Source organism: Homo sapiens, chromosome 22, assembly GCF_000001405.40.
Source record: "Homo sapiens chromosome 22, GRCh38.p14 Primary Assembly".
Classification (NCBI taxonomy): domain Eukaryota; kingdom Metazoa; phylum Chordata; class Mammalia; order Primates; family Hominidae; genus Homo; species Homo sapiens.
In genome coordinates, this window is record NC_000022.11 from 42,607,272 (window position 1) to 42,622,780 (window position 15,509).

Below are 15,509 nucleotides of genomic sequence, written 5' to 3' on the forward strand. Positions count from 1 at the left end.
TGACTGGTTTTTGTATTTTTTGGTGGAGACGGGGTTTCGCTGTGTTGGCCGGGCTGGTCTCCAGCTCCCGACCGCAAGTGATCTGCCTGCCTCGGCCTCCCGAGGTGCCGGGATTGCAGACGGAGTCTCGCTCAATCAGTGCTCGTTGCCCAGGCTGGAATGCAGTGGAGTGATCTCGGCTCGCTACAACCTCCACCTCCCAGCCGCCTGCCTTGGCCTCCCAAAGTGCCGAGATTGCAGCCTCTGCCCGGCTGCCACCCCGTCTGGGAAGTGAGGAGCGTCTCTGCCTGGCCGCCCATCGTCTGGGATGTGAGGAGCCCCTCTGCCCGGCCGTCCAGTCTGGGAAGTGAGGAGCGCCTCTTCCCGGCCGCCATCCCATCTAGGAAGTGAGGAGCGTCTCGGCCCGGCCGTCCATCGTCTGAGATGTGGGGAGAGCCTCTGCCCCGCTGCCCCGTCTGGGATGTGAGGAGCGCCTCTGCCCGGCCGCGACCCCATCTGGGAACTGAGGAGTGTCTCTGCCCGACCGCCACCCCGTCTGGGAGGTGAGGAGCTTCTCTGCCCGGCCACCCCGTCTGGGAAGTGAGGAGCCCCTCCGCCCAGCAGCCGCCCCGTCTGGGAAGTGAGGAGCGTCTCCGCCCGGCAGCCGCCCCGTCTGGGAGGGAGGTGGGGGGCAGCCCCCGCACAGCCAGCCGCCCTGTTCGGGAGGTGGGGGGCGCCTCCACCCAGCCACCACCCCGTCTGGGAAGTGAGGAGCCCCTCTGCCCGGCCGCCACCCCGTCTGGGAGGTGTACCCAACAGCTCATTGAGAACGGGCCATGAAGACGATGGCGGTTTTGTCGAATAGAAAAGGGGGAAATGTGGGGAAAAGAGAGATCAGATTGTTACTGTGTCTGTGTAGAAAGAAGTAGACGTGGGAGACTTCATTTTGTTCTGTACTAAGAAAAATTCTTCTGCCTTGGGATGCTGTTAATCTATAACCTTACCCCCCCCCCCAAAAAAAAATTAGCTGCAAGTGATGATGCACATCTGTAGTCCCAGCTACTCAGAAGGCCAAGGCAGGAGGATCAACTAAGCCCAGGAGGTCCAGGCTGCAGTGAGCCAAGATCACACCACTGGACTCCAGCCTGGGAGACAGAACAAGACCCTGTCTCAAAAATCAAAACAAAACAAAACAAAAAAAAACCACCACCACCAAAACAAAAAGAAACAATCTTCCTTATCATTATTGTCTGGTATTTCAGTTTCAATATGTTGTTAAACCCTTAAAAATTTATACATATATATAAAGGAAGGATAAACAGTCCGCAGGCTGAAGAAATCTTAGGACTCCGGTCATGCCCAGGGATACGGAGCACTCTCTAGCGACCAAAGGGTGAGCACAAGCAGCGAGGCGAGCGGGTGGTGCACGCACTGAGAACTCGCATACCACAATGCCTGCCTGGCAGGAAGGACCACCAAGATGCTTTGTGCTGGCATTTTTATCTATTTGAACAGCCTAAAAGGCACATTTAGGGGTGGGAGTTAACGGTAGTTGAGGATGTAGTAGGAGCTCCTCACGGTGGGAGGGAGTAAGCTATTTCCCTCAATCTGATGCACTCAGTTCCCTGGTTCCACCAGTGCTTTCAACTTCTTTCGTGAACAGCTTGAGGGGGCTTCAGTGTTCAGGCTTTTTATAATCACAGCTGCTCTTCCTGCATGAAAAGACAGCTATTCATCCCAGCAGGCAGCAGTACTGGTTTCAGGCAGGCATTAGTCATCGGAAATTTTTCAAATCAACACTCCTGCCAGGGGTAGGTCTCTAAAACACAGACTCAATTATGTTACCCTCCCGCTTCTAGAACTGCTGGGGGCTCCTTTACAAAGCCCAACCCCTGGGGGGGCCTCGGCTCTGGCTCCAGCTTATGGCTGCAGCCTTACTCCCCACTGCAGTGACTACTGACGTTCCCAAAACACATCCTGCACTTTTATCCTCAGTAAATGTTTGGGAGGGCGAAGGAGGAAGGTTTTGACTGAGTCTCGTAATGCCCCACCTCCATCGCACCGAAACTACAGCTCTGCAACTGCTTCCAGGGCTTCACCAGGTATTCCGCGAGGTCCTGGCAAGAGCGCTGCTGGCAGGTGAGAAGGCAAACGTTCCCTGGACCCCAAATTCTCTCCTCTATACCCCCTACGGGAACCTGGCATAGGTGTGATGACCAGGGAGGGTCTGTCTGGGCTATAGGAATATTTCACCCTCCTGGCTCTGTCTGGGGAGGGCAGGGCTACAGCCCATTCTGGACAGATGTCCAGTCCAAAAGATTCAGGCCCATGAAGTGGGGCCCTGGATTATTATAAAGCAGATTTTAACCCATGGGTTTAAAATCCTCTGGGTTATGGGAGGCAGAGGTTGCCATGAGCCAAGATCGCACCACTGCACTCCAGCCTGGGTGACAGAGCAAGATTCCGTCTTATAAAAACAAACAAAAAAAGCTTCTGGGTTAGGGGGTGTTCGTTTAGGTGTGTGTTTAGGTCATTTTTATAGAGAGAAAACAGCTTAATTCTAACTATGACTGAGGGTCAACTCTGAATTAGGTGTTTAAGAGACACAAAGAAAAACAAGACACTAAAATACTATCCCCTGCTGGGCGAGGTGGCTCACGCCTGTAATCCCAAGCACTTTGGGAGGCTGAGATGGGCGGATCACTTGAGGTCAGGAGTTTGAGACCAGCCTGGCCAACATGGTGAAACCCTGTCTCTACTAAAAATACAAAAAATTAGCCGGGCGTAGTGGCCCATGCCTGTAGTCCCAGCTACTCAGGAGGCTGAGGCAGGAGAATCGTTTGAATCCAGGAGGTGGAGGTTTCGGTGAGCTGAGATCGCGCCATTGCACTCCAGCCTGGGCAGCAAGAGCAAAACTCTGTCTCAAAAATAAATAAATAAAATAAAATACTATCCCCTTACCCAAGAGTCTTGTGCAGATGTTTCATTTTAAAACATAATTCGTTCCCTAGAGTTATGTAATAACTCATTTCCTCCCTTTTGTGTTTAGGTCTTTATTTCCTTTATCTTATTTCAACAAGGAAACAAGCAGTCAGTACCAGGACCAGAGTCCTGGGCTGAACTGCAAAGTTTACAATCCACCCTGTCCCCCAACAACCTCCCACTTCCAGCTCCAAGGACTCCCCAGATGAGGCGTCTGGCCCAGAGAGCTGCTCAACTCCAGCCTCCAGCACATTCAAGGCTGCCACACTGAACTGCTTGGAGGCAGCTGACAGAAAGCTATCCGCTGAGGGTTAAACTCATCGAACTAACAAAAGCGGACATGTCAACTGACTTAACTGGGGATGCCCTCATATCTAAAGGAAGAAACTGCTGGGCACAGTGGCTCACACCTGTAACCCCAGCACTTTGTGAGGCAGAGGCAGGAGGACTGCTTGAGTCCAGGAGTTCGAAACCAGCCTGGGCAACATGGCGAGACCTTGTCTCTACAGAAAATACAAAAATAATTAGCCAGGCATGATGGCATATGCCTGTGGTCCCAGCTACCTGGTAGGCTGAGGCAGGAAGACTGCTTAAGCCCAGGAGGCAGAGGTTGGAGTGAGCTGTGATCTTGCCACTGCACTCCAGCCTGGATGACAGAGCAAGATCCTGTCTCAAATAAATAAAGGAAAAAACCAACATGAGGGGCAGGCCAGCACTGCAACTGGTACCTAATGCTATCCTGAGGAGACTCTCTACGGATCTTTCACAACTAAAGTCACTGGAGATGTGCTGTGGTGAGGAAAGATAGCACCTCACCATGGAGGAAGGTATCACTCAAAACCACCCTCTTCTGGTTCAATCATTTCCCATTAGTCAAGGAATCTTTTAATAATTAATTGGAGGCCTAGGTAATAATAATGGTAATGACTTTTTTCTTTCTTTTTTAAAGAGATGAGGTCTTGCTCCGTCAACCAGACTGGGGTGCAGTGGTGCAAGCATGGCTCACTGCAGCCTTGAACTCAGGCAATCCTCCTGCCTTAGCCTCCCACACAGCTGCAGTTACAGGCATGAGCAACCACTGCATCCAGCTATGACCCTTTTCTTGACTCACAAGGTGTGAGGAACACAAAACAGAATGGCTGCTTTTGAGAACAAGCACATTCCACAAATGTGATCCTTGGGATCACAGGAAACAAAGTGAGCAGAGTGGTGGGGAAAGAGGTTATTTACACTTCCACAAGCTGGATCTTTGGCTATTTCTACTAAGAGGAAAAAAGCTTTCTTAAACAACAAAATTCTTCCTGGAATATCCATGCAACATTAAAACCAAAGTTCCAAGTACGCAGATTCTTCTAGGCAGTATGTAAAATAGCATGTATGGCCAGGCACGGTGGCACTTTGGGAGGCTGAGACGGGTGGATCGTTTGAGGTCAGGAATTCAAGACCAGCCTGACCAACATGGTGAAACCCCACCTCTACTAAAAATACAAAAAAATTAACCAGGCGTGGTGGCGCATGCCTATGGTCCCAGCTACTTGGGAGGCTGAGGCAGGAGAATCGCTTGAACCTGGAAGCCAGAGGTTGCACTGAGCTGAGATCATGCCATTGCACTCCAGCCTGGGCAACAGAGTGAGACTCCATCTCAAAAAAAATAAAGAAATAAAATAAAAATAAACTTACTGCAGGAAATGACATCTGTTCATTGAATTTGTTCAGATCTTTCACATTATCTTAACAGGGACCACTGGATCTAGTTTTTCTTTGTTGGCTGTGCAGGTGAGATAAAAACGGAGTTTCCAGAAGATTTAACTCAAACTCAGCATGCACTCCAGGTTCTTCCATGCTAGTCTCTCTGCCTGCACTCTTTGCCCCAATCCAATCCCCATACAATGGCAAAGAAATATTTTCAAGCTAAAAATTGAATCATGTTACTCCTTTACTTTAAGAAGCCTTCAATGACAATAACGAAAGCTAACGTCTATCAAGCACTTAAGTACCCGTTGTCAGGAACTTTTCAATGCACTTCAGGTATATTAATTCACTCAGTCCTAACAATAACCTAATAAAGTAGATATTACTCAGGTTTTATACATAAGGAAAGAAAGGCAAGGAATGGTTAAGTAACTTGCAGACGGTCCTAGGGAAAGTGGGAGAAGCAGGGATTGGAAGCTTGGTGGTCTGCGTCTAGAGTCCCAGTGCTCACCTATGCTCCAGGGGCGTTGTGTGCTTCTATGCCTTTAAGGAAAGGTCCAAGATAATTACCAGCCTTTGCTGAACACTTGCCACATGGCACAAACTTTAAAACATACCTTCTGGCCCGGCGCAGTGTCTCATGCTTGTAATCCCAGGACTTTGGGAGGCCGAGCGGGTTCGGCCTGAGGTGAGGAGTTCGAGACCAGCCTGGCCAACATGGTAAAACCCCATCTCTACTAAAAATACAAAAATTAGACAGTCGTGGTGTCGGGCACCTGTAATCCCAGCTACTTGGGAGGCTGAGACAGGAGAATCACTTAAACCCAAGAGGCAGAGGTTGCAGTGTGCCAAGGCTGTGCCACTGCACTCCAGCCTGAGCAATACAGTGAGACTCCCTCTCAAAAAAACAAACAAAAAAAACCCTTCTCACATTTAATCCCGCTCAACCAGGAATCACCATTCCAAGTGAGGAAACTGCCTAGTTCAGAACTCCCCTGGCCAGGGAAACAGAACCCAACAGTGGCAAGTGCCAGGTGTATCCAGCTGCAAGGCCCCTGTTCCTGTGGATCCACACATAACCACCCCCCATTCCTGCAGCCCCACCTACTGCCCAACACAAAACTCTGCACACACTAAAACCAAAAACATAGAGATCAAATAGACTACAGTGCAGTCCACCTGCAGTCAGAAACTGGCGGAGTGACCTCAGAGAGAGAAGAACCTGGGGTGGATCATTCTGTCGTTTCCAAAGGAACCTACAAAACGTGGATGGACTTAGAAGTGGCCAGAGGAGCCAGCACCAGCTTCACATCAGTCACTAGATGGAGATCTGAGAGAGCTTTCACAGTCAGTAGTTGAGGAAACAAATACTAATGTGTGCCCGTTACGAACCACAAGCCAGGTAAGTGCTGGCTGCGAATTATGAGGTGGTGGTGGCAGTTGTAGTTGATACAAGTGTCCAGGATGGGGAAGGAGGTGAGGGATACATTTCAGACATCAAGAGAAAAACCTAACCACAGGCATACGGGTGGTATTAATAAACATCTGCGGAATGGCCGGGCCGGTGGCTCACGCCTGTAATCCCAGCACTTTAGGAGGCCGAGGCGGGAGGATCACCTGAGGTCAGGAGTTCGAAACCAGCCTGACCAACACAGTGAAACTTCCATCTCTACTAAAAATACAAAAATTAGCCGGGCGTGGTGGTGCACACCTGTAGTCCCTGCTACTTGGGAGGCTGAGGCAGGAGAATCGCTGGAACCGGGGAGGCGGAGGTTGCAGTGAGCCGAGATGGCACCACTGCACTCCAGCCTGGGCGACAGAGCAACACCCCGTCTCAAAAAAAACATAAAAATAAAAATAAACATCTGCTGAGAGAACAAATGTCTGAGAAAACAATATCTAACATATTTACATCCTGGCTATTTACAAAGACATTTAAACTTAATGTGTGTTGGGAAACTATTGGGCAAAGTTCTCACTTCTTCATACAGATGAACTCAGCTCACGAAGGCTTGAAATGACTAACAACATTTAAGGGTCTAGGGGAAGTTTGGGAGACATGACTGCAAATCACCTCCATGGCTCCTCAGCCAGCTCAAGCACTTTCTTCTCCCTAAGGAAATAACCAATCTCCTGCCCAACACACCAGTTTTTCAAGCCCATGTAGGAGGCCAACTCAGCCAGCAATTAAATCGCGCTCAGCCCGCCGCTCAGTTCTCCGTGGCCTCGGGCAAGTCACTCTACCACTTCCAGCCTCAAGTTCCCCATCAGTAAAAGGTGGGTAACATGAATAGCTAGCAGACAACAGGACTGTAAAAGATTAAATGAGGCATCGTGTATATGAAAGGGCTCAGAAAACTTAAAACGCCGCACAAAGAGAGGCGAGTGTTAACAGGGGCCGCGTGCAGGGGGATTTGGGCTTGCGCCTCAGCTTCGGCGGTCGGAGCAAGTCACTTCCCCGCTACTAAACTTCGGTTGTCTCAACTCTAAGATGGGTGGAGACCAGGCAGCGCCGAGATCACGGAGCGGGGCCCAAATGCCAGTCCACACAGGCAAGGAGGCTGCGCCGCCGAGACCCCAGGACCCCGGAACGCGGGGGCCCCAGGGGGCAGCCCCTCAGGTCCACGAGGCGGCACCCTGTCCCCGCCGCGGCCCCGTCGGCCTCCCAGGGCCGCCAGAGGGACTGCGCCTCGGCCAGTGGGCGGGCGGTCGGGGCCACGGCGGGGACGGCGGCAGCCGGCCAATGAGGAGCGCGGCTGTGGTCGGGGGCGGGCGCACCCGGTCCTCCGCGTCGCTCCCGGATCGCTACCTCCCCCGCCTCGAGCTCCACTAGGCCGAGGACCCTAAACCCCGAAGAAAGGAAAGGCCTCTCACCGTCCTTTCGCCGCCGCCCCGCGCTTCCTGATGAGTTCGTCCAGGGAGATGTCCGCCATCTTGCTCCGCCGAGCAAGCCGAAAGCAGTCGAGACCCCGCGAGCCCGCCCCTTCGGCCGCTAGGGAGCGACGAACTACTTCCGGCGTCCGCGGACCAACTCTCGCGACAGCCAGCTCAAAGCAGGCAAGAACCGGAAGGGGCGGGGACGTTCCCCGTGAGCCTTCGCGGTGCTGGCTGCTCATCTGCATACGGAAGTTCGGCACATTATGAATTATTTATTTTCCTCGAGGGAAAAAATTAAATGAAAAGCAACAAAATACATTATTAACAAGTGAGACAAACTTCAATGGAACTGGATCATGACCTCAACAGTCAACTACGATAGTCATCATACGCCTAATGAGAATAGAATTCATTACCTAGGAAATAAACTAAAAACGTCCTTATGCCTTAAACTTATGAGTAAGGAAAATAACGATTCGGGGTGACGCCCGAATCCTCACTGCTAATGTGAGACGAATTTTTGAGCGGGTAAAGGTCGCCCTCAAGGTGACCCGCCTACTTTGCGGGATGCCTGGGAGTTGCGATCTGCCCGACCTTATTCACGCCTAAAAAGTAGACTGACTGTGGGGTGGTCGTGTTTTTTGTTTCTTGTTGGTAGGTGGTGAATGCGTTTTTTTCGTTGTTTTCTCCGTTACTCAGGCTGCCAGTTGCTTGGCAGTCTTGTCGCTGGCTGTGGACGCTCTGCACTTCATCACCGTCCCCAGCTGCGCTTTGAGCCGGTCTAAGGTTGCCCACAGTATTGACGTTGGGACCCACGAAACTGGCAATTTCCATGTGTGCGGCCTTACCCAGTTCTCCCAAACTTCTGCGTATAACCGCTTCTCTGTGCTTCAGAAAGATAAGTCCGGCCCCGGCCTCACACAGCAGCTCAGTTCGTGACAGCGTTTAATATGTAAAATGGAGCAAATAATTTATAGGGCGTTGGGAGAGTTAAAGAGACTAATTCATTTACGTGTTAAATACAGGGAATGGCTTTTGCATTGATATAACCCCAGCCTCCAGCATGCGCCAGACCTGACGTAGGTGTTCGGCACATATTTTGTCCAATCACTCTAAAAATACACTCCATGCCCTTAGAACAGGTGGGGTTATGTCCTCTTGGCCATCAGGCATCAGGAGCTCCGTGCAGAAACTGGGTAAGAGGCCAGGAGCGGTGGCTCATGTCTGTAATCTCAGCACTTTGGGAGGCTGAGGCGGGTGGATCACCTGAAGTCAGGAGGTCGAGACCAGCCTGGCCAACACGGAGAAACCCCGTCTCTACTGAAAAAAAAAAAAAGAAAGAAAAAAATTAGCCGGGCGCGGTGGCACGGCCTGAAATCCCACCTACTCAGGAGCCTGAGGCAGAAGAATCGCTTGAACTCGGGAGGCGGAGGTTGCGGTGAGCCGAGATCGCGCCATTGCACTCCAGCCTAGGCGACAGAGCAAGACTCCGTTTCAAAAAAAAAAAAAAAAGAAAGAAAGAAAGAAACTGGGTAAGAGCGATCCTGCAATCCTCCTGCCTCAGCCTCCTGAGTAGCTGGGATTACAGGCCCGCCCCACCACGCCGGGCTCCTTCCCAGACCTCTTTTCCTCACCCATAGAACGGGACCATTAAGCCTTTCCTCCCTTCCAGGCGTGCCAGGAGGAACGCGCAAGAGGTGGGAGGAGGACAGGCTGGCCAGTGGGGTCAGCTGGGCAGTGTAGGGCAGATGCGGAGGACAATTTTATTTTTATTTTTGAGACGGTGTCTCGCTCTGTCGCCCAGGCTGGAGTGCAGTGGCACAATCTCAGCTCACCACAGCCTCCGCCTCCCGGGTTCAAGCGATTCTCCTGTCTCAGCCACCCGAGTAGCTGGGATTACAGGCGCACGCCACCACGCCCGGCTAATTTTTGTATTTTTAGTAGAGACGGGGGTTTCACAATGTTGGCCAGGCTGGTCTCGAACTCCTGACCTCAGGTGATCCACCTGCTTCGGCCTCCCAAAGTGCTGGGATTACAAGCATGAGACACAGCACCCGGCCTCCTTTCTTGTTCTTTTACAACTCATTTAGAGCTGTGTTGATTTTTAAAATTCTTCGTATAGGTAGGTGATACTGCCTGTGAATTCTGCAGCGTAAAGGGCCCGTTACAACTGTTATTTTAAAGGTGTTGGCCAGGCATGGTGGCTCACACCTGTGATCCCAGCACTTTGGGAGGCCGAGGAGGGTGGGTCACCTGAGGTCAGGAGTTTCAGACCAGTCTGACCAACATGGTGAAACCCCATCTCTACTAAAAATACAAACAAATTAGCCGGTGTGGTGGTGCACGCCTGTAATCCCCAGGTATTCCGGAGACTGAGGCAATAGAACCGCTTGAACCTGGGAGGCAGAGGCTGCAGGGAGCCAAGATCATGTCACTGCACTCCAGCCTGGGAGACAGAGCGAGACTCCGTCCCAAAAATAATAAATAAAGGTGTCGAGTCTGTATGGAGAATCGCTGCCTTAGAGCCCTCTCCCATTTTCTGAATGGGGAAACAGACCTGGAGAGGGTGGGAATCGGGTCCAATTGATCCCCTTTTCCCACGTCCCCTTTCCCAGGAGGCAGCCTCTTGTGGGCTCAGGCAGGCCTGTGTTCAAATCCTGTGCCTTTCAGCCTCAGACAGGGACAGAAATGAGGATGAAACCTAACGCGTGTCCATTGCTAGCAGTCCCCCGCCACAGTGTGAAGGCCATTTTGGGTCTGAGATTCCTTTTCCTGCCACTGTAGGTAGTGAGGTGGCCAGAGACAGAATGGAAAATGCGAAGTGAGAGGAGACAGGGCTCTCCTAGTCCCCTAGGTTGGTCTTGGGCCCTCCTTCCTGTGAACCTGCCCCGTCCCCTCTTCTTCCCCACTCCCCTCCAGCCACACTGGCCTCACTGTGCTCCTAGGGCCACCCAGCAAGTCTCCGGAGCACCAGCCTAGCCCCGCCTCCCTCTCCAGCCTCATCGTTGCTGCCCCTTCCAGCCACCTATCTTCTTCGATCTGTTTCTGAAAGTTTATTCCACAAGCTGGTTCCAACGGCAGGGCCTTTGCGTCTGCTGTTTCCACCATTTGAACACCCACCCACCCCAGCATGGCCAGCTCTCTCTTCCCGTCCCAGCCCAAATCCATCTCCTTGGGGCCTTCCTGCTGCCCCGTTTTAAGAACAGCCCCACACCCACCTTGCCTCATCACCTCTGTAATTTACCACCATGCAGATGGCATCCTCTGACTTTCCTGAGCCTCGAGGCTCATCTGACCCTGACAGGAGGCAGCAGCCTCGCGGTGCATTGGGGTGACTGGGGTTGCGTGGTTTCAGCTGGTTTGCCTCTGGGGGTTGGGAATTTTTCTTCCTGTGTATACTTCTCTGCACTTTCCAAATTTTCTACCACAAAGATACATCAGAAATAAATGCTGGAGCCGGGCGCAGTGGCTCACGCCTGTAATCCCAGCACTTTGGGAGGCCGAGGCGGGCGGATCACGAGGTCAGGAGATCGAGACCATCCCGGCTAAAACGGTGAAACCCCGTCTCTACTAAAAATACAAAAAATTAGCCGGGCGTAGTGGCGGGCGCCTGTAGTCCCAGCTACTTGGGAGGCTGAGGCAGGAGAATGGCGTGAACCCGGGAGGCGGAGCTTGCAGTGAGCCGAGATCCCGCCACTGCACTCCAGCCTGGGCGACAGAGCGAGACTCCGTCTCAAAAAAAAAAAAAAAAAAATACAAAAACTAGCTGGGTGTGGTGGTGGGCACTTTTAGTCCCAGCTACTCGGGAGGCTGAGGCAGGAGAATCGCTTGAACCCGAGAGGTGGAGGTTGTAGTGAGCTGAGATCATGCCACTCCAGCCTGGGTGACAAAGGGAGACTCCGTCTCAAAAAAAAAAAAAAAAGAAAAAAAAAATGCTAGGTCTTCCCCAGCCCTTTCCTGACCCCACCCCTTGTGTTGCAGGTCACAGACCCTCGAGGAGCTAGAGAAGGGTTAATATTAGCAAAGTTTTACTTTTTTTTTTTCTGCTCATAAATGACTCTGAAAAAGCCAATACGCAAGAGGCTAACACAACTGTAGTCTAAAGGCAACGTCGAGGTCACTGATATGTCCCTCAGACAAGAGGCACTGCTCAGAATCCCCCTGTGCTGGGGGTGAGGGAAGGAGGGGACGGTTTAGGACAGAGGAATAAATACATGTGGTTGTGGGAGTTCTGCCATCAGGGATGGTGGCCCCAGCCCAGGACCCCAAAACCCTGAGGCGGTGCAGTGGGCTGCCAACCCCCCAGCTCGGGGTTCCCCAAGGCTGCCTCAGTGTTTGGATGGGCTGGAAGGAAATGCTGAGGTTCTGGGAGGGCCCCATGGCCAGCCCCCTCTTCCCACTCTAGCCAGAGGAGAGCCAAGCTCCCGGCTGGCCAGGGCCCTGGGGTAGGGAGCAGTGCCCCCAAGAGGGCTTTCTGGTGTCAATGTCTCATGCAGCGTCAGGTGGTGAGGCCTGGGCCTGGCCCTGAGGCGGGAGTGGGGGTGACAGGCGAGGCTGGGGTGGGCCCTGGCACCTGCAGCTTTGGGCTGCCCATGTGTGTCTGCTGACATCCCGACTATGGTCCACGGCCGGGAATGGTGGGCAGACGGGGCTGCTGGCAGCCCTCAGCCTTATAGTGTGTGTGGGGGGTGGACGAGGGGTCATGAGGACAGGGATGGGGCTGGGCGTCTCTGGTAAGGACCAGTAAGTGCCAGGCAGGACGTACTCTGAAGGCTCAGCCGTGGCCCATCTGGGACACAGCCCTGCTCCCGAAGGGGCTCCAGGGGAACTGCTCAGCCAGGTGATTCACCAGGGCACGGGCAGGCCAGGCTGAACCCGGGGCCCCAGTGTGCGATGTGGGGAGGTGACTGGGTGAGCGTGAACAGGGCGTGGGGTGCGCGGGGCGGGTGGCCGTGTGACCGTGCCCGGCCCTCAGAAGACGAAGCAGCGCTCCGTGGGGTGGCCCACGTGGTCCAGGTTGGGAAGGCAGGCGTACTGGATCATGGGTGGGGGGCCACACATCAGCACCAGCGGCTCCTCCTCTGGGGGTGGAAGGTGGTCCCGGATCATCTCCTCATTCACGAAGCCCTGGCCGTAGTCCCAGGCTGTGGGGTGAGAGACCAGGTAAGCTGACGTGTGGCTGTGTGGTCACCAACCTGCTGACCGACCAACCCTAGGCGGTGAATTCCTTAAATGCTGAAGAATGGAGAGGCTGATCCCAGCAAACTGTCACCAGGACCCCCTGCCCCCAACCCTGACTCAAGCCTATGGCCTCAGGCCCTGCAGCCTGAAACCAGTGTACAAAGCCCATCATGGTTCCCCTGACTGCACTTTACAGTTTGCAAAGCCTTTTGCTTCCATTTGGCCTCCGGGGTGTCCCTTGGAACAACCCAGTGGGTGGACAGGGCGGGGAATATGAATCCCATTTTACAGATGTGGCAACTGAGGCCCAGAGGACCCAGAGTTGAGTTGCTCAAGATCACACAATGAGGCAGGGACACGACTGAGATGTACCTTCCAGGATCCAGAGGTCCCCAGGCTGGTGCTCTGCCCCAGGCTGCTCAGGGTGACAGTCTCTAACTGCCCCCACCTCCATGAGCCCACTGTGACTCCCCAAGAATGTCGGCCCATGAGGAACTGAGTCTCATCCACAGCTGTGTGTCCTGCCCCCTCGAGCCCTGAGCGCCCACGATGATATGGCTGGTCTCTATCCTTAGTAACCAGAAACAACCACCCCACAGCCCTCAACACCAAGAGAAAAGCTGCTGAAGCCTCAGGCCAGGAGGGCTGGCACTGGCTGACACAGACACCCTGCCTAGATGGCCCAAGTTTACAGCATACACTCCACGCTGTGAAGGTCCTGACGGGGAGGGGCCAAAGCAGTCCCGCTTGCCCTGGAACCAGGAAGAGTCTACTGTGCTGAGCAAGGGGGTCCTCTTTATCTCATGGACTCCATGAGCTAAGTCACTGACCACATTTCCCTTTTCACCTTGGCTGCTGGGAAGCCTGGAGTGATACGTGTGGCCCATTCACAGCAAGCGTACATTATAGTCCGTTTTTGTACAAATCCCAGTACTGATTCCATTCATTTTATAGCCCTGCACTTGTTTTTCTTTCACTCCCACTTTCCATTTGTGCCACTCTGACTCACCAGATGAGTCTTTGTAAGCCTCCTAAAATCCCTCTGGAACAAGGCGAGGCACAGAAAATAGTTTTATAGCTGGGCAATGGATCTGAAGTGGATCTGAAAGTACCTTGTAAAAACTGCATGGGCATAAACTGCTAGTGTACAAAATGTGCAGGTATGTAAGACACCTTTCAATTTCACAGCGATTTCTTTTTAGTGTGTGTGTGTGTGTGTGTGTGTGTGTGTGTGTGTTTTTAAGAGACAGGAATTGGCTATGTTGCCCCAGCTGGCAGGCAGTGGCTATTCACAGGTGTGATCATAATGCCCTCCAGCCTGGAGCTCCTGGGCTCATGTGATCCTCTTGCCTTAGCTTTGAATAGCTGGGACTACAGGTGCATGCCACCGTGCATGGCTTAATGTATTTTTCCCTGTACCTGTCCTGAAAGTGGCTCTGTGGGGGAAATACTCACTGCCCCTGCCTGGAGTCCTTGGGGCTCTCCTCATCCTTCGCTTAGCTACGGTACAGCCAGACTGGCCTGTTACCACTTTCTTTCTCAACCTCTGGAATTTCAGCTTACATTTAATGCTACAGCAGTACCTCAACTAATCTTGAATTGTGGGTCACAGTGGCAACAAATGTACACGAAAAATGCTAGGAGATCACCCAACTATTCCTCTCATTGGCAGGTAACTGTCCCGTGGTGGTGGTGCAGGTGCTGCTGCCTGTTGCCACCAGGGGTCAGCACTGGCCCCTCCCTGGGGGACCAGGCCTCGCTCTGGCCACAGGGCAGGGGCTCCTGCACGCACCAGGGATCTGGATCACTCATCTGGAATTGGGATGGGGCTAAACCCTGCCTCGCAGCAAGCTGGCCCCGCCCATGCCATTAGAAACTGCAGTCAGAAAGGAGCAAAGCAGCCTATCACTTCCTCCCTTTAGACTGACACATGGGTACAGGATAAAACGCTCTTTTCTTTGAGACGGAGTCTCGCTCTATCGCCAGGCTGGAGTGCAGTGGCACCATCTCGGCTCATTGCAACCTCTGCCTCCCGGGTTCAAGCCATTCTCCTGCCTCAGCCTCCGAGTAGCTGGGACTACAGGCACGCGACACACGCCCAGCTAATTTTTGTATTTTTAGTAGAGACAGAGTTTCACCATGTTGGCCAGGATGGTCTCGATCTCTTGACCTCATGATCTGCCTGCCTCGGCCTCCCAAAGTGCTGGGATTACAGACGTGAGCCACCGCGCCCGGCCTGCTCCTTTCGTTAGTAGAAGAGAAACAGCAGCTAGACTCCCAGAGCCAGTGCCCTGGCTGACCTCCGCTCCAGCCGCTGCCTGGCTCTGCTTGGCCCCCCACATCACAGGAACCCCGCCACCATAACCGCGCTATAATTTACTAAGAAACCTGCTCCCATTAGTCCTCTGCCTCCCCCACTGGAAGGTCAGCTGCGGGGTCAGGTTGGCTTCCTGAGCATACCAGGTGGAGCAGCCGACCTGGAGGGGGTGGGCTGACCCAGGACAGCAGGTCCAGCCAGAGGCCGGACACGGTGACAACCCACACATCCACCACCCCCTCCAGGCCTGGGTCTCTCAGCCTGGAGGCCTGGAACCCAAGCTGGTCATCTGAGAAGGGCGGCTGCTCCCTCAGGGATGGGCCCAGGTGACCCAGCTCCTAGGTGCTAGCCAGGTGGTGCAAGTCCCAGAGCCCATGTGCTCCTTTCTGGGAGGAGCAGAGGGTGGTGTGGACAGAGCTCCCTCATCAGTAGAGGGCATGCACCCCCTGACATGGATCATCAGCAGAGGGTGTGCGCCCCC

At 53.3% G+C, this 15,509-nt stretch overlaps 2 protein-coding genes, 1 long non-coding RNA gene and 1 other non-coding gene across 13 annotated transcripts in view, besides 10 other annotated features; 1 reads left to right on the plus strand and 3 right to left on the minus strand.

Annotated features, from left to right (window-relative positions):
- Positions 1-7,612, minus strand: part of POLDIP3 (DNA polymerase delta interacting protein 3) — a 31,163-nt gene extending 23,551 nt beyond the window's left edge. For all 5 annotated transcript variants that reach the window (NR_103820.2, NM_178136.3, NM_001363052.2 and 2 more), the window contains exon 1: positions 7,528-7,612. Coding sequence is in view for 4 of the 5 variants with exons in the window: in NM_178136.3 (NP_835237.1) it covers positions 7,528-7,586 (59 nt within the window). In the remaining variant the exon portion in view is untranslated. The remainder of the gene's footprint in view (positions 1-7,527) is intronic.
- LOC124905127 (uncharacterized) lies at positions 1,464-7,508 on the minus strand. Its single transcript, XR_007068118.1, has 2 exons — positions 4,642-7,508; positions 1,464-1,691 (listed from the first exon to the last, which is right to left on the minus strand). It is a non-coding gene; the product is annotated as an uncharacterized LOC124905127 (long non-coding RNA).
- Positions 5,832-6,375: an enhancer, noted in NCBI's record as "H3K4me1 hESC enhancer chr22:43009109-43009652 (GRCh37/hg19 assembly coordinates)". NCBI's record gives its function as "activates a minimal SCP1, AML or CMV promoter by ChIP-STARR-seq in naive H9 embryonic stem cells {active_cell/tissue: H9 hESC(naive)}" and the evidence as "EXISTENCE:reporter gene assay evidence [ECO:0000049][PMID:30033119]".
- Positions 6,920-7,463: an enhancer, noted in NCBI's record as "H3K27ac hESC enhancer chr22:43010197-43010740 (GRCh37/hg19 assembly coordinates)". NCBI's record gives its function as "activates a minimal SCP1, AML or CMV promoter by ChIP-STARR-seq in primed H9 embryonic stem cells {active_cell/tissue: H9 hESC(primed)}" and the evidence as "EXISTENCE:reporter gene assay evidence [ECO:0000049][PMID:30033119]".
- Positions 7,100-7,429: a silencer, noted in NCBI's record as "silent region_13832". NCBI's record gives its function as "represses an Ori minimal core promoter by ATAC-STARR-seq in GM12878 lymphoblastoid cells {active_cell/tissue: GM12878}" and the evidence as "EXISTENCE:reporter gene assay evidence [ECO:0000049][PMID:35858748]".
- Positions 7,464-8,007: an enhancer, noted in NCBI's record as "H3K27ac hESC enhancer chr22:43010741-43011284 (GRCh37/hg19 assembly coordinates)". NCBI's record gives its function as "activates a minimal SCP1, AML or CMV promoter by ChIP-STARR-seq in primed H9 embryonic stem cells {active_cell/tissue: H9 hESC(primed)}" and the evidence as "EXISTENCE:reporter gene assay evidence [ECO:0000049][PMID:30033119]".
- Positions 7,464-8,029: a biological region, named in NCBI's record as "H3K27ac hESC enhancer GRCh37_chr22:43010741-43011284".
- Positions 7,500-7,679: an enhancer, noted in NCBI's record as "active region_19172". NCBI's record gives its function as "activates an Ori minimal core promoter by ATAC-STARR-seq in GM12878 lymphoblastoid cells {active_cell/tissue: GM12878}" and the evidence as "EXISTENCE:reporter gene assay evidence [ECO:0000049][PMID:35858748]".
- Positions 7,760-7,819: an enhancer, noted in NCBI's record as "active region_19173". NCBI's record gives its function as "activates an Ori minimal core promoter by ATAC-STARR-seq in GM12878 lymphoblastoid cells {active_cell/tissue: GM12878}" and the evidence as "EXISTENCE:reporter gene assay evidence [ECO:0000049][PMID:35858748]".
- Positions 7,970-8,029: a silencer, noted in NCBI's record as "silent region_13833". NCBI's record gives its function as "represses an Ori minimal core promoter by ATAC-STARR-seq in GM12878 lymphoblastoid cells {active_cell/tissue: GM12878}" and the evidence as "EXISTENCE:reporter gene assay evidence [ECO:0000049][PMID:35858748]".
- Positions 7,973-8,122, plus strand: RNU12 (RNA, U12 small nuclear). Its single transcript, NR_029422.2, has one exon. It is a non-coding gene; the product is annotated as an RNA, U12 small nuclear (small nuclear RNA).
- Positions 8,470-8,599: an enhancer, noted in NCBI's record as "active region_19174". NCBI's record gives its function as "activates an Ori minimal core promoter by ATAC-STARR-seq in GM12878 lymphoblastoid cells {active_cell/tissue: GM12878}" and the evidence as "EXISTENCE:reporter gene assay evidence [ECO:0000049][PMID:35858748]".
- The window catches only part of CYB5R3 (cytochrome b5 reductase 3), a 31,553-nt gene continuing 26,612 nt past the window's right edge, over positions 10,569-15,509 (minus strand). For all 6 annotated transcript variants that reach the window (NM_000398.7, NM_007326.4, NM_001171661.1 and 3 more), the window contains one exon: positions 10,569-12,674. In NM_000398.7, the coding sequence (NP_000389.1) occupies positions 12,502-12,674 (173 nt within the window). In that variant the 3' untranslated portion in view covers positions 10,569-12,501. The remainder of the gene's footprint in view (positions 12,675-15,509) is intronic.
- Positions 14,415-14,504: an enhancer, noted in NCBI's record as "active region_19175". NCBI's record gives its function as "activates an Ori minimal core promoter by ATAC-STARR-seq in GM12878 lymphoblastoid cells {active_cell/tissue: GM12878}" and the evidence as "EXISTENCE:reporter gene assay evidence [ECO:0000049][PMID:35858748]".